The 15,348-nt window shown below is 43.3% G+C and overlaps 1 protein-coding gene across 3 annotated transcripts in view, besides 2 other annotated features; it reads left to right on the forward strand.

Annotated features, from left to right (window-relative positions):
• The window catches only part of LYN (LYN proto-oncogene, Src family tyrosine kinase), a 134,335-nt gene extending 119,943 nt beyond the window's left edge, over window positions 1-14,392 (forward strand). For all 3 annotated transcript variants that reach the window (NM_002350.4, NM_001111097.3, XM_011517529.4), the window contains one exon: window positions 10,131-14,392. In NM_002350.4, coding sequence (NP_002341.1) covers window positions 10,131-10,333 — 203 coding nt within the window. In that variant the 3' untranslated portion in view covers window positions 10,334-14,392. The remainder of the gene's footprint in view (window positions 1-10,130) is intronic.
• Window positions 6,701-6,800: an enhancer, noted in NCBI's record as "active region_27397". NCBI's record gives its function as "activates an Ori minimal core promoter by ATAC-STARR-seq in GM12878 lymphoblastoid cells {active_cell/tissue: GM12878}" and the evidence as "EXISTENCE:reporter gene assay evidence [ECO:0000049][PMID:35858748]".
• Window positions 6,861-6,910: an enhancer, noted in NCBI's record as "active region_27398". NCBI's record gives its function as "activates an Ori minimal core promoter by ATAC-STARR-seq in GM12878 lymphoblastoid cells {active_cell/tissue: GM12878}" and the evidence as "EXISTENCE:reporter gene assay evidence [ECO:0000049][PMID:35858748]".

The following is a 15,348-nucleotide window of genomic DNA, read 5'->3' on the forward strand; positions in this document are numbered from 1 at the left end:
ACTGACCAACATGGAGAAACCCCGTCTCTACTAAAATTACAAAATTAGCCAGGCATGGTGACGCATGCCTGTAATCCCAGCTACTCGGGAGGCTGAGACAGGAGAATTGCTTGAACCCGGGAGGTGGAGGTTGCAGTGAGCTGAGATCGCGCCATTCCACTCCAGCCTACACGACAGAGTGAGACTCCATCTCGAAACAAAAAAAAGACTTGATTTTTATTTTCACTATCTTTAGCATAAATTGTTCTAAGAGTGCTTAGACACTTCTTTGCCTCCTTATTTTGAGTGTGTGTTCTTGTTCTGCACTGATTAATTCCACCACATACTAGAATGTTCCGGGCATGGTTGTTGGTGTCGAGATGAGGATGGATAGACACAGGGGCTCCTCCAAGGCAGTCCCCCTGACTGGAAGGAGGAAACCCACATGGAGACAAGGATTTCCGATGCTTGGTTTTGTAATAAGTGCCCTGGAGTCTCTCTCTCTTCAAGAAATAACCACCTTTGTTTATCAGTGGGAGGCCCTTCTGCTCTTTAACATACTGGTATCAGTGAGGGCATCATTCAGTATTTATTTCCAGATTCCTAACACCTGAAGCCTGCAGAGCCAGATTCTGACCATCCCTCCATTTTTCCATGGTCTGTGCTGGCATGGTTAAGAAGAGGGATTTCGGCCAGGTGCAGTGGCTTACACCTGTAATCCCAGCACTTTGGGAGGCTGAGGTGGGTGAATCACGAGGTCAGGAGTTCGAGACCAGCCTGGCCAACATGGTGAAACCCCGTCATTACTAAAAATACAAAAAATTAGCTGGGCGTAGTGGTGGGCATCTGTAATCCCACCTACTTGGGAGGCTGAGGCAGGAGAATCACTTCAACCTGGGAAGCACAGGTTGCAGTGAGCCGAGACTGCACCCCTGCACTCTAGCCATGGCGACAGAGTGAGACTCTGTCTCAAAAAAAAAAAAAAAAAAAAAAAAAAAAGAGGGATTTCTCCCAGAGCCTTCATATTTTCATTTATGTTTGACTATTAACAAAATATTTGCATGAGGGGAATTTAAAATTAAATTTTTAATGTTTAAATCTTTCTCCTATTCAAAAAATATTTGAGTATGCTAGGCACTCTCAGCTGCTAGGATGCCATGGTATCTGCCCATGTCCTTGAGAGTGAATATTGTAGTGGGGAGAGACTGATGTTTATCAAACACACAGCCATCCTGTAGGGTGGTGAGAGTAGTGTGGAGCCTGCGTGGAGTGGCTTAGGGATTGGCGAGTACTCACAGAAGGGGGTGGGGAGCTGCTGGTTTTATTCCATGGTCCTGGCAGCAGCAGGGACTCACAGAGGGAGGGAGTCTTGGGCTCTCTGAGGTCTGCATGTCCCCATGGGGAGAGCAGCCAGAGCATGGGCTTGGCCAACAGGAGCAGGAGGCCAGCGTGGTTTGGGCCTCTGTGAGTATTTGATGGATGGATGGGTGAATGAATGAATGAATGAATGACGCACCTAGGCCATTTGATCTCTAGACAGTCGATGGATGAGAAAGAAGGCTATGTAGCTGGGGGTTAGAGTGGCTCAGGGAGAGACTTACTGGCCATGTAAGAGCAGCCCCTCTTACTCTGCTGAGATGCAAACCAGGGAAGGCTTTTGGACAGAGCAGCCACACAGTCTGCGTGCTCCCATCACTACTGTTTCATGTGGGGATGAGCCACAGAGAAACTGGGGCAGGGACCAGTTGGCAGCTGAAAGCCTTTGGGTGGTGTCTGCCTGCACAGTGGACCGGCTGTCCCAGGAAATCCCTTTAGTGCCAGCATTTCATCTTCCAGCTGCTCTAGACACTGAGATTAATGAATTAACATTGCTGCAAAATAGGAAAAATATTTCTAATCAGCCCCAGTGTCTGATGTTATATATCTCTATCTCCATCTATGCCTACATCTCTTTCTATAATCTGTCTGTAGAGAAAGATTATATAGTCAGATTATGTATATAATCTGACACCTGATAAACATACAATCTCATAAAAGAATGTTTTGTGATATGCGTGGTGTGCTGCATGTGATGTGCTACCATGGCCCCTGAGGCTTGGAGAAGGTGATTGGGCCCCTCGCTGGTGGCAAAGCTGCTCTGAGCCCCAGATCCATGTGCCTCCCAAGACCCCTCAGCCAATGTGCACAATGCCCAGGATTTGGAAATATTTGGGGTGAAAAATCATTTTTTGAAAAAAGAACTGGCTGGGCACGGCAGCTCACACGTGTAATCCTAGCACTTTGGGAGGCTGAGGCAGGTGGATCACCTGAGGTCAGGAGTTCGAGACCAGCCTGGCCAACATGGCAAAACCCCATCTCTACTAAAAATATAAAAATTAGGCTGGGTGCAGTGGCTCACACCTGTAATCCCAGCACTTTGGGAGGCCCACTTTGTGGGCGGATCACAAGGTCAGGAGATCAAGACCATCCTGGCTAATATGGTGAAACCCCATCTCTACTAAAAATAAAAACAATTAGCCAGGCGTGGTGGCAGGCGCCTGTAGTCCCAGCTACTCGGGAGGCTGGGGCAGGAGAATGGCATGAACCTGGGAGGCGGAGCTTGCAGTGAGCTGAGATCGCGCCACTGCAATCCAGCCTGGGTGACAGAGCGAGACTCCATCTTAAAAAAATAAAAAAAAAAAGAATAAAATAAAATAAAAATAAAAAGTAGCCAGGTGTGGTGGTGCACGCCTGTAATCCGGAGGCTGAGGAAGGAGAATCGCTTGAACCCAGGAGGTAGAGGTTGCAGTGAGCCAAGATTGCACCACTGCAGTCTAGCCTGAGCGACAGGAAGGAGACTCCATCTCAAAAATTAAATTAAATTAAATTAAATTAAATTAAATTAAATTAAATTAAAAAATAAAAAGAGAACCAGTAGAAAAATGGTGAGAATCATAAAAATATGTTTCTCTCTATATGGAAGAACACACCAGAATCCATCGACTAGTCTGTTCCCTGATTGGCTTGTCCCTGGAAGGACTGGGGATGTGAGATATCTTCAGGAGATCGGGATCAGTAAATTTTTTAGTCACGAGAGTTGTATGTTACGAGAGCCTCTAGCATTAGGGTTATAAACATAATCAAGCAATCCTATTTACTTCACATGAGAAGACTTGATTCATAGCACAGAAATCGGTAAACATTGCCAAAATATGCCATTTTCCACACGGTTATAAAACTGCATATGGGAGAGAATCCACGATGAATGGAATTATCTGAAAGTACTTTCTTTACGCAGTAAACTGCTGGCTATGTTTTTGTTTTTTGTTTTTTTTTTTTTTTGAGACAGAATCTCGCTCTGTTGCCCAGGCTGGAGTGCAGTGGCGTGATCTCGGCTCACTGCTAGCCCCACCTCCCGGGTTCACGCCGTTCTCTTGCCTCAGCCTCCCAAGTAGCTGGGACTACAGGTGCCCGCCACCACGCCCAGCTAATTTTTTTTTTATTTTTACTAGAGACAGGGTTTTGCCGTGTTAGCCAGAATGGTCTCGATCTCCTGACCTTGGGATCCTCCCGCCTTGGCCTGCCAAAGTGCTTGGATTACAGGCACGAGCCACCTCACTCGACCTGTGTTGTTCGTTTTTAAAGTACTTTAGAAGCTATACAGGCCAGGTGTGGTGGCTCATGCCTGTAATCCCAACTTGGGTGGATCACTTGAGGCCAGGAGTTCGAGACCAGCCTGGACAACATGGCCAAACCCTGTCTCTACAAAAAATACAAAAAAAATTAGCCCGGCGTGGTGGCCAACGCCTGTAATCCTAGCTACTTGAGAGGCTGAGGCAGAGAATCGCTTGAATGCTTGAACCCAGGAGACAGAAGTTGCAGTGAGCCGAGATGCGCCACTGCACTCCAGCCTGAGCTACAAAGCGAGACTCTGTCTCAAAAAAAAAAAAAGAAGAAGTCATATCATATACTTAGCTTTGTAAAATAAAAAGGAAATAAAAGAAAGGAGGAAAAAGAAAAAAGAAAGTCACATATAAGGCAAACTCATTTTTAGAGGAGATAGAAATACTAAGATAATATACTGAAATGTTAGCATTGGGTCAAGAGATAATAGGTTATATTAATTTTCTTCTTGATGAATTTCTGAAATTTCTAATTTTTTTACAATGATATTGTTATTAAATATTTTATTCTTTTTTTTTTTTTTTTTTTTTGAGATGGAGTTTCACTCTTGTTGCCCAGGCTGGAGTGCAATGGCGCCATCTCACCTCACTGCAACCTCCTCCTTCTGAGTTCAAGCGATTCTCCTGCCTCACCCTCCCTAGTAGCTGGGATTACAGGCATGTGCCACCATGCCCAGCTAATTTTGTATTTTTAGTAGAGATGGGGTTTCTCCATGTTGGTCAGGCTGATCTTGAACTCCCGACCTCAGGTGATCTGCCTGCTTTGGCCTCCCAAAGTGCTGGGATTACAGGTGTGAGTCACCGCACCCGGCCTAAATATTTTATTCTTATCTAAGTAATATATGCACATTAAAAAAGTAGTACAGAAAGACTTCCTTTTTTTTTTTTTTTTTGAGACAGAGTCTCGCTCCGTCACCCAGGCTAGAGTGCAGTGGTGTGATATCGGCTCACTGCAACCTCCACCTCCCAGGTTCAAGCAATGCTCCTGCCTCAGCCTCCTGAGTTGCTGGGACTACAGGTGTGCACCACAATGCCCAGCTAATTTTTGTATTTTTAGTAGAGACGGGGTTTCACCATGTTGGCCAGGCTGGTCTTGAACTCCTGACCTCAGGTGATCCACCCACCTCAGCCTCCCAAAGTGCAGGGATTACAGGCATGAGCCACCGTGTGCAGCCACAAAAAGACTTCCAATGAAAAATTCCCCATGCCTGCGGGTGCTCCTCAAAGTAATCTACTTTTGGGAATTTTGATTCCTTATTCTAGCGTTTGCTGCATATAGTTCTAAATATTCTACTCATAACTTTTATCTCTTAATTAAGTTTTTTCCACTTATTATTAGATAAGGATATGGCCACATACTTTTATTTTTCATTTATTTATTTATTTGACAGGGTCTTGCTCTGTCACCTGGGCTGGAGTGCAGTAGCATGATCATAGCTCACTGTAGCCTTTAATTCCTGGGCTCAAGTGATCCTCTCGCCTCAGCCTCCTGAGTAGCTAGGACTACAGGCGCATGCCACCACACCCAGCTAATTTATAAATTTTTTGTAGAGACAGGGTCTCACTATGTTGCCTAGGCTGGTTTCTAACTCCTGGGTCAACTGATCCTCCCTCCTCAACCTCCCAAAGTGCTGGAATTATAGGTGTGAGCCACCACGCCCGGCCAGCCACATGGTGTTAAATTCAAGAGATACAAAGAGGTGTAAGCTGAAAGGTCCCCCACTCTATTCCCAGCCACACAATTCTCTCCCCATAGGCAACCAGTGTTCTCAGTCTCTACTTTAGAGACATCCTATAAGGGGAGTCATACAGTTTTGCCCTAATGTCTGGTTTATTTCACTCAGCATAACCCTCAAGGTCCATGCATGGTGTGGCCCATGTCTTCAGTCTTTCTTCTCACTCCTGGTCTTCCATACCACACTTTCCCCACCTCCACTTGGGCCTAGCATTCCCTGCATGAAGCTTCTCCATTGTTTCTTCCAGCATTTGCCTGGGCACTGGTACTATGGGCTCCAGGTACTGTCCTGCCCTCGGCGCTGGCCTCCCTCCCTCATGGTATATGCTGACCACACAGTGTGTGCCTTCCTGGGCTGAGTTGGGATGGGCCGCCTTGCCCGTTGTCAGTGCCCCTCTCTGCAGGCACGTTGGTTGCACTTTCTTCCTCTTGGCTCAGACCACTTCTTCCTCTGGCTGCCAGATGTCTCTTAGCATCATCAGAGATGGAGTTTAAGTTTCTATTTCTTGTTCTCTTTTTTGTTTTGGGATGAATTACAGAAAAAAGAAAATAGTGAGGAGGAGGCAAAAGATCTTTACTTCATTATCTTAAAACCAAAACTATGATTATATTTCTCTATCAATTTTATACAGAAAAAAAGAGGGGTCTGACTGGGCATGGTAGCTCATGCCTGTAATCCCAGCACTTTGGGAGGCCGAGGCAGGTGGATTGCTTGAGGCCAGGAATTTGAGACCAGCCTGGGCAACATAGCAAAACCCTGCCTCTACAAAATAATTTAAAAATTACCAGAGTATGGTGGTACGCACCTGTAGTCTCAGCAACTCAGGAGGCTAAGGTGGGAGGATCACCGAGCCCAGGGAGTTTGAGGCTGCAGTGAGCCATGATTGCGCCATGTACTCCAGCCTGGGCAACAGAGTGAGACCCTGTCTCAAAAAAAAGGTGGGGGTGTCTTGTTGGGGTCCTGGTTGGGGTCTTGTTTTGCTTTGTTTATATAAAGCAAAAGGTTTGAAAGTGAAAAAATTTTCTGAAGCATCATGACTTTTCTGGCTGTTTCTGACCAGATATATCTAACATCTTAATGCCAGCTGAATTAGAATCAAGAAATTTGTCCTGCTGCAAACAAACACTCACCTTGGTCACAAGCAAAGCTCAGAAAATAATAATAGTAATAATAATTTGCCCTTTTGGAAGGAGTATGATTGGGTGGGAGACTGTACTCCCAGGGTATCTAGCTCTTCCTGATACACATACACACAAAGGGCCCTGTGTGACTGAAGACTGTCATAGTTTGTGGTACAGCTGTGCTCCTCCCTGTCACTAGCTATCTGTTCCTTTTCTCTACTGTACCACATTTTTCTCCTTCTTCTGCTTCTTTACCAACTTGTAGTCTCTGCTGATTTCTACCCACTCCAGATGCCACCTTCTGCTCCCCACCACCTCCTTCTGGTGAGGGCATTGTCCTGACTGGGCTGTGTGCCATTTGAGGATGATGCTCTGTCTTAACTATCTCTGCATGTCTCAGAGCTCAGTGCTAGTTCATGACCCATAGTGAGCACTCAGTGTTTGTTGAAAGGAGGAAGGATGGAAAGTGAAACTGTGTGCCTTCTAAGCAGATCACCAGCTAATGGGTGTTTACTTTCTTTAACTTAGCGACAGGCCAACACCAACTATCACATGTAATCTTAGGGTCTGGTTGAGGTCCCTCTCCTCTTCTTATTTCTTTCTTTCACAAGACTTGTCATTTAATAGCGGATTTTATTTATTGCTTTCCTTGTACATAAAAAGATAGGCTTCAGATTCCCTTCTTCCAATTCTTCTTATCAAGTCGAATTCCCCAAACAGGGTGGAGCATGTCCAGCCTTTACCAGCATCATCGAGAGTCCTTCAGAGCTAGGAGAACATACTGGAACCAGGAAAAAAAAATCTGCTGTGGGGCTAGGGTGACCTAGAAAGCTTTATCTTCCACTGTGGCTGCATTCTGACCTTTTATGCAAATGAGGGATCTCCAGGAAGGAAGTGAAAGAGATATTCCAAACTGAGTGTGCAGGTCCAATTGCTATTTATATCATACTGGATGTTAGTCCTCCCACCACGATCCCAGAATTTCACCCAAGAAAGCAGAAGTATACACAAATCTTTCTTCTGAAATTTATCCAAGTTATAAGAGCCAGAGCAATGCTGAGGCCATATCATTTTGTGGAGACTAAAACTCCCAAATAAAGAGGATGATACAAATCTGTCTTTCGCTTTAAGCAATGAAAATCAAATGAAGTATTTTAGTTAGAAAATTCTAGTCACACAAATATTTGAAGATAGTGTTTCAGAATTAGACTCAGGAAAATGGATTTGCTGTATAAATTCTCAAGAGATCTGAATCATTATAAAGTTTGCTTAGATCTTTCAATTTCAAAAACAAGGGCTCTTCCACGACAGAAATGATCATGTCTTCTTTCAGCGGTTTAAATTCAGGAAAGGTCACTGTGTCCTTAGATGAAAAAAGGTAAGTTAAAGGCAGAGGATCTCAAAGTTTATTGGCCATAAGCCATTGTGGGAAATACATAGAAACCTACTCTGTACATAAAGCAAACGTTTCATAAAACCATATTGACCTTTCCTATGTGCAGTGCTTTCTGACCTTTTCTGTTTTATTCTGTTATAATTCATTTTAAAAAATACTGGTAATTGGCTGGATGCAGTGGCTCCCGCTTTTAATCCAGCACTTTGGGAGGCCGAGACAGGCAGACGACTTCAGGTCAGGAGTTTGAGACCAGCCTGGCCAACATGGTGAAACCCCGTCTCTACTAAAAATACAAAAATTAGCCGGGCATGGTAGTGGGCACCTGTAATCCCAGCTACTTGGGAGGCTGAGGCAGGAGAATCGCTTGAACCTGGGAGGCGGAGGTTGCAGTGAGCCAAGATCGCTCCACTGCACTCCAGCCTAGGTGAAAGAGGGAGACTCTGCCTCAAAAAAAAAATAAAATAAAATAAAATAAAATAAAATACTGGTAGTACTCTAAAAAAGTCAATTTGTTGATCCCAAATTGTTGATCCCAAATGCGGATAGTGCCCCGCAATTTGAAAAACACTGATTAGAAAATACATTCAAAAGAAGGTTCTGTTTCAAATCTGGTAAAAAGCCATTTCCCCTGAAGCTGCCACTTATTTAGAATCCTTCCAGTGACCAGTGATGGTATAATCTACAGCTTTGAAAAAGAGATAGCTATGGAAAGGAAATTCGTTGTGAGGAATGGAGCCCCTCTCATATGCCAGATATTGTATATACTTTGCATGACATACATTCTTCTCTAGAGAAGTTCACATCCTACAGAACAGGGTATCCATGAAATATGCAAAACATACAGGTGTGGATAGATACTGCTAGATGAGCACATAATTGAAGGATTAATCTCCTTTATCATGCAGGAAAATGTTATTATTATAATGATCTTTTTTACCCTTTAAAGCTATTCTCAGGATCAAAGATTGACAGTTCAGCTTCTGAATTACCCTGAGACATTTGACCACATTAAAAACATTCTCTATTACCAGGCCTTTTGCAGAGCTCTAGAGGAGTAATGAGCACCTTACTTCTCTCCTGGAGGTCAGGAATATGCAAATCCAGAGTCAGAGTGAGCTGTCACTCTGGCCAGGTACTGCAGATTGGAACAGTTAACTGCGTCTGTGAAGTAGCTCCACTTGAGACTATGATTGGGGTTCAGTTTTCCTCCTCAATTAATATCTTGCTCTTAAAAGACAGTGACATCCACAAGATATGTAGCACAAACTACAGACAAGTGTCCTTCAGATTAACTGAACCATCATTATTTTCCAAATTAATCCCTAAGTTTTTAACTATTTGGCAAGCATGTAACCAATTTGTTGGGCTGACTTAAGGGTGCTGACTTTAAGTAAATGAAAATACCAATTATTAAATGAAAAGCCAATTTTTGAAAAATGTCCGTATAAGATAATATGTGGTAAAATTATTTTTTTCATAAATATACTACAAGTTGAAGCTGAAAGCATGCTACCCTGCAAACATAATTAAAGTTGAGAGTTAGGATTAGATTTGGGTGATTTATTTGAAATGTGAGGCAAGTCCAATATCCTTTTGTTATTAAAGAGAACTTGGCTGTGGCTCCTACTTAACAAATTTTGGCAAACTGAATGCTGTCTTGATCCCCTCCATGCTAAATTTATTTATTGAGTTGCTTGCAGAAATTTCCTTAGCTTCTATATTAGTTGGCAAGGGCTGCCATAACAATACAACACACTGGGTAATTTAAACAACAGACGTTTATTTTTCCGGGGTTCTGGAGTTTCAAAGTCCAAGGTCAAGGTGCTAGCCAGGTTGATTTCTCCTGAGGCCTCTCTCCTGGACTTGTAGATGGCTGCCTCCTCCCTGTGTCTTCACATGGTCTTTCCCCTATACTAGTCTGTGTTCTAATCTCCTCTTATAAGGATACTAGTCATATTGGATTAAGACCTACCCAAATGGCCTCATTTTAACTTAGTTACCTCTATAAAGGCCTTATCTCTAAATATGGTGCTGTCAATTCTGAGGTGTACGCGGGGTTAGGACTTCAACCTAGGAATTTTGGGAGGATGCTGTTCAACCCCTAACAGCCTCAGTAAAGCTTGTTTCAATCATGGTTACAGGATGTGAGGAGCAAAAAGACCACTGCAGTGCTTGACCCTCTGCCAGGTTTCTAAACGGCATGGGTTTCTGTTCTTTTTGTTTTTTTCCACCCTAGGGAGAACTAATGCCGACGTGATGACCGCCCTGTCCCAGGGCTACAGGATGCCCCGTGTGGAGAACTGCCCAGATGAGCTCTATGACATTATGAAAATGTGCTGGAAAGAAAAGGCAGAAGAGAGACCAACGTTTGACTACTTACAGAGCGTCCTGGATGATTTCTACACAGCCACGGAAGGGCAATACCAGCAGCAGCCTTAGAGCACAGGGAGACCCGTCCATTTGGCAGGGGTGGCTGCCTCATTTAGAGAGGAAAAGTAACCATCACTGGTTGCACTTATGATTTCATGTGCGGGGATCATCTGCCGTGCCTGGATCCTGAAATAGAGGCTAAATTACTCAGGAAGAACACCCTCTAAATGGGAAAGTATTCTGTACTCTTAGATGGATTCTCCACTCAGTTGCAACTTGGACTTGTCCTCAGCAGCTGGTAATCTTGCTCTGCTTGACAACATCTGAGTGCAGCCGTTTGAGAAGAAAACATCTATTCTCTCCAAAAATGCACCCAACTAGCTCTATGTTTACAAATGGACATAGGACTCAAAGTTTCAGAGACCATTGCAATGAATCCCCAATAATTGCAGAACTAAACTCATTTATAAAGCTAAAATAACCGGATATATACATAGCATGACATTTCTTTGTGCTTTGGCTTACTTGTTTAAAAAAAAAAAAAAACTAATCCAACCTGTTAGATTTTGCAGGTGAAGTCAGCAGCTTAAAAATGTCTTTCCCAGATTTCAATGATTTTTTTCCCCCTACCTCCCAAAATCTGAGACTGTTAAAACATTTTTCTTCTATGAACACTGCTCAGACCTGCTAGACATGCCATAGGAGTGGCGTGCACATCTCTCTCTCTTCCAGCAGGAGGAGCCCGTGAGCACGCACAGCTGCCCTGTCTGCTCACCCGAAGGCACCGGGCTCACCTGGACCTCCCAGGAAAGGGAGAAGAGCCTCAGAAACTGCTCTGTGTTTAGAAGGAATATTTTTAAGAGTCCAGCTTTTTCATTTCCACAATTTCCTATATCCAGATTTGTTTTGACAATGTAGTTTGGAAGAACTAAGATTCTAATCTCTGAAGAACCTTATAGGGCCTTCTAAAACATAAGAGTTTCCTTTGTTGCTTCAAATATTTGAACATTATGTTAAAGATCAAGTATTAATTTTAGTTGTACTCTAGAAAGCTAAAGTGCCACATTCGGGGCTATTTTTATGATTCAGCAATCTTTTCTAAATTGTGTAGCATGTGTATGAGACTATTTATACCCAAGGATATGAAGGAACATAAGTGACTACAAGGCTCTAATAAGCCACGGTGGCAGGAGGTTCAAGCGGTTCTGTTCACTAAATTTTTCTCCTGTAAGCTTTGAATGGAAACTTCTGTATCACATGATGTGTTTCACTTATGCTGTTGTGTATATACCTAATATTTCTATTTTTGATTTTATTTTAATACACCTCGTCCAATAACATCTCAAGCTTTTTATTTGCATTTACATTTTCAGCTGTGGTCAGTGTAAAAATTGGTCATCAGCTGGGGGCGGGGTGGTTAGAAGTGATTCAACAGAGCTACATGCTTTAAACTTGCCCAAGTTCTACCTCCTTCCTTTGAACATTTCAGATTGGAGAACCAAGGAGTTGATTGCCTGAACACCTGAACATCCGTTTATGGGGGCCAGATAGAATTTGTTTTCAAATAGGCTTAACAGGCATCATTAAAATTTCATTCTGTGTGTTTTGTTTAGGCTTGAGGTGCTTAGAAGATGGGATAAAATATTCTACTTTTTTCTAAATTTTAACTTTGTTTCCTATGTGATTTTTTTAAATGTCCTTTCTAAAATATTCTAAAATTATTGATTCACAAGTGCCATGTTCAGAACTATAGAATATTACTGTTACATAATGTCTGCACAGCTGGTCCCTTGATTCAGTGGTAAGGTTTTTGTGTACACCCCCCTGCTTGCATTTTATTTCAGAACCACAAGTATTACCCAATATGTTACATGGAGAGGAACTATAAAGAATCCCTAAGGCAAAAAGAAGTCTCTAGAAAATGACTAGAGGTTTTTTTTTTAGCATAACAAATTTATTTAAAGAAAATTATTAAATTTATCTTCGCCTTGTTTTGCTTCTCCCAGTTCCTCCTCTTCTTGCCATTTTCCACTTGTCTTTCCCTCCCAATCAAGCCTGTGATCCTTACCTCCATGTGGGCCCTTCACCAGCTTGGGCCTCATCTCTGGTGTCCAGCATGTGTGGAAGTCACACGTTCCCTTGATGAACAGCACACACAGTCTCCTTACTTAGCTATAGGTTTCCAGCCTCCCTGTGACAGACAGGCATAATGAGGGGCTGAATAGGTGTTTGTAGCATTTTCGGGTATCCAGTGGTGTGCAAAATGGCTCATGTCATCACACCTCAGGTTATTGTAGAGAACTGGAAAGACAGAATCCATACTCCCTACCGCCAAGATTCTGACTTAGCTGTTGTGCAGCGGGAGATGTATGTCAGTCTATTTTAAAAGCTTCTCCAGTCAGCTAGACACAGTGGCTCATGCCTGTAATCTCAGCACTTTGGGAGGCTAAGGCAGGAGGATCGCTTGAGCTCAGGAGTTAGACACCAGCCTGAGCAATATAGCAAGTCTCTACAAAAAATTTTAAAAATTAGCTAAGTGTGGTGGCACATACCTATGGTCCCAGCTACTCAGGAGGCTGAGGTGGGAGGATTGCTTGAGCCCAGGAAGTCAAGGCTGCAGTGAGCTATGATCGTGCCACTGCACTCCAGCCTGGGCAAGAGTGAGACCCTGTCTCAAAAAAAAAAACCAAAAAAACAAAAAAACCCTTCCCTGGTGAATATAATGTATGCTCAGTCTTGAGAGTCACCATTTGGTTTGACCCATATTACAAAGCCCAGCCTTCTTTTTCCTCAGATGGTTTCATTTCTCAAAGGGGAGTGGAAGAGAAGGAAGGAGGAAAAAAACGTGCCTTCCTTCCTGGTGAACATGAAGCTCACTGAACCTAAAGGAGACTCACAGGCTAGAAACCAGTGTCCTTAGTAGTAGGGGCCACCTGGGGCTTCCGTGGCTTCTCCAGGCATACCTCCTGAGGTTCCACAGAATCCCCTTGCAGAAAGTACTTCTGATGAGCCACTGGGAACGTGTACTGTCCAAGCCCCCTTCTAGGGGAAATTCACTGCCACAGAAGCCAGCAGCCCTGGCTGTCCCAAGGGTGCATAAAAGGATAATAACTAAAAGGAGGGAATTAATTTTGTTGCCTACACCAGGGATAGATCGAGGGCACTGAAAGCATCATAAGTATAAACTCATCTCCACGTCAGCTTGTGGAGTCTGCTTTCTCGCTCTCTCTTTTTTTTTTTTTTTTGACAGAGTCTCACTCTGTCACGCAGGCTAGAGTTGCAGTGGTGCGATCTCAGCTCATTGCAACCTCCCCCTCTCTGGTTGGAGCGATTCTTCTCCTGCCTCAGCCTCCCTAGTAGCTGGAACTACAGGCACACACCATCTCGCCTGGCTAATTTTTGTATTTTTAGTAGAGATGGGGTTTCACCATGTTAGCCAGGCTGGTCTCGAACTCCTGACCTCAGGCGATCCGCCTGCCTCGGCTTCCCAAAGTGCTGGGATTACAAGTGTGAGCCACTGTGCCCGGTCGGGGTCTGCTTTCTCTTTATTCCCCGTCCTCTCACAAACTACATCCAGGGGCGGTAGCTGCTAAAAGGACTCAATTCTGCAACCTCAGCTTCTGACACCTTCAAATAAATTAAATGCTGGTCCTAGGGCTCGCTCCCCAGCTCTTCTGATGTCACTGCCAGGTTCCACAGCCAGTTGTCGGACATCTCCTGCTTCCTCAGCCAAGAACACCTCTCAGATGAGATCAAACCGCCCAGCTTTCCTCTTAGCATCTTCCTTTATTTTCCACTTCTGGCTGGTGGAAGAGAGATCGTAGTTCTCTATTCCCTACATTTTAACTCCACGAATATTTTAGATTAAGTGAAGTCTTGCTGTTCTTCCTGATGGAAATGGTAATTATAAACATACAAAGATACCCATACACACATTCTTTACTCAGGGCCCTCTTGTGCTTTGGCAAATGATAAAAATTATCTCTAACTCACACAACGACCCTGGAAGATCTGGACAATGCTATCACTATTTCACAGCTGAGAGATCGGGAGCATTTAAAGCCACAGAAGGAATAGATTGGCTTCGCTTCATATTGTTTCCTTGTGAAATAAAACCAGTGAAACACCTTTGTGTAGAATCTCCCTGACTCAGCTGAGTGTTCTGAGTAAGCAAGGGTATTACTTACAAGATGCACCATTTGAGCCCACACAGATGGGAGGGGAAATTTTTCCTTAAGTAATTTTATTTGGGTAGAAAAGTAATGCAAGAATTTAACTTACCATTCACACTTTTAAAGACAATTTGTAGAGACTACACTTCAGAATAAAATGTTTTGGCCAGCTACAGTGGCTCACACCTGTAATCACAATACTTTGGAGGGGCTGAATCAGGACGATCACTTGAGGCCAGGAGTTTGAGACCAGCCAGGACAACATTATGAGACCCTGTCTCTACAAAAAAAAAAATTAAGTTTCAGTAGCATTTATGTTCCATTTCATAACATGAATGTTACTAAAACTGATAAAAATTTTATCCTGAAAAGTTTTAACTTGATAGACGTGTAAGAGGAAAGCCTTCCAATTTAATTTCCTGTGTGCTGATAAATCTATTAAATACTTCAAGTCAGAGTGCCAAAAAGTGTCACAGAATTCCCGAGATGGCCACAGATATTCACAGATCTTGAATATTTCTCTTTAAGGGGGAAATGACAGGGAATCTTGGCGGCCTCTATCTCTAGGTCTTTGGAAGGACTTTAGAAATAATCTAGATTGGCCAATGTTCAATGTTAACGCAGAACTTTTAGAAATAAAAGAGGCCTTAATCTACAGCCCCAAAAGTAGATACCATGTCACACAGCAAGAAAATTATCTGTGATTTTTTTATTATTATTATTATTGTTAGACTTACGCTGGGCTTTGACGATAGGTCCTTTATCCCTTATCTACCACCCTTAGGGTCAGGTATGTTTTTGATTTCAGGTTTTTTAAAAAAAGATTAGGGCCAAGCACGGTGGCTCATGCCTGTAATCCCAGCACTTCAGGAGGCCGAGGCGAGTGTATCACCTAAGGTCAGGAGTTGGAGA

This window comes from Homo sapiens, chromosome 8, assembly GCF_000001405.40.
Source record: "Homo sapiens chromosome 8, GRCh38.p14 Primary Assembly".
NCBI lineage: Eukaryota > Metazoa > Chordata > Mammalia > Primates > Hominidae > Homo > Homo sapiens.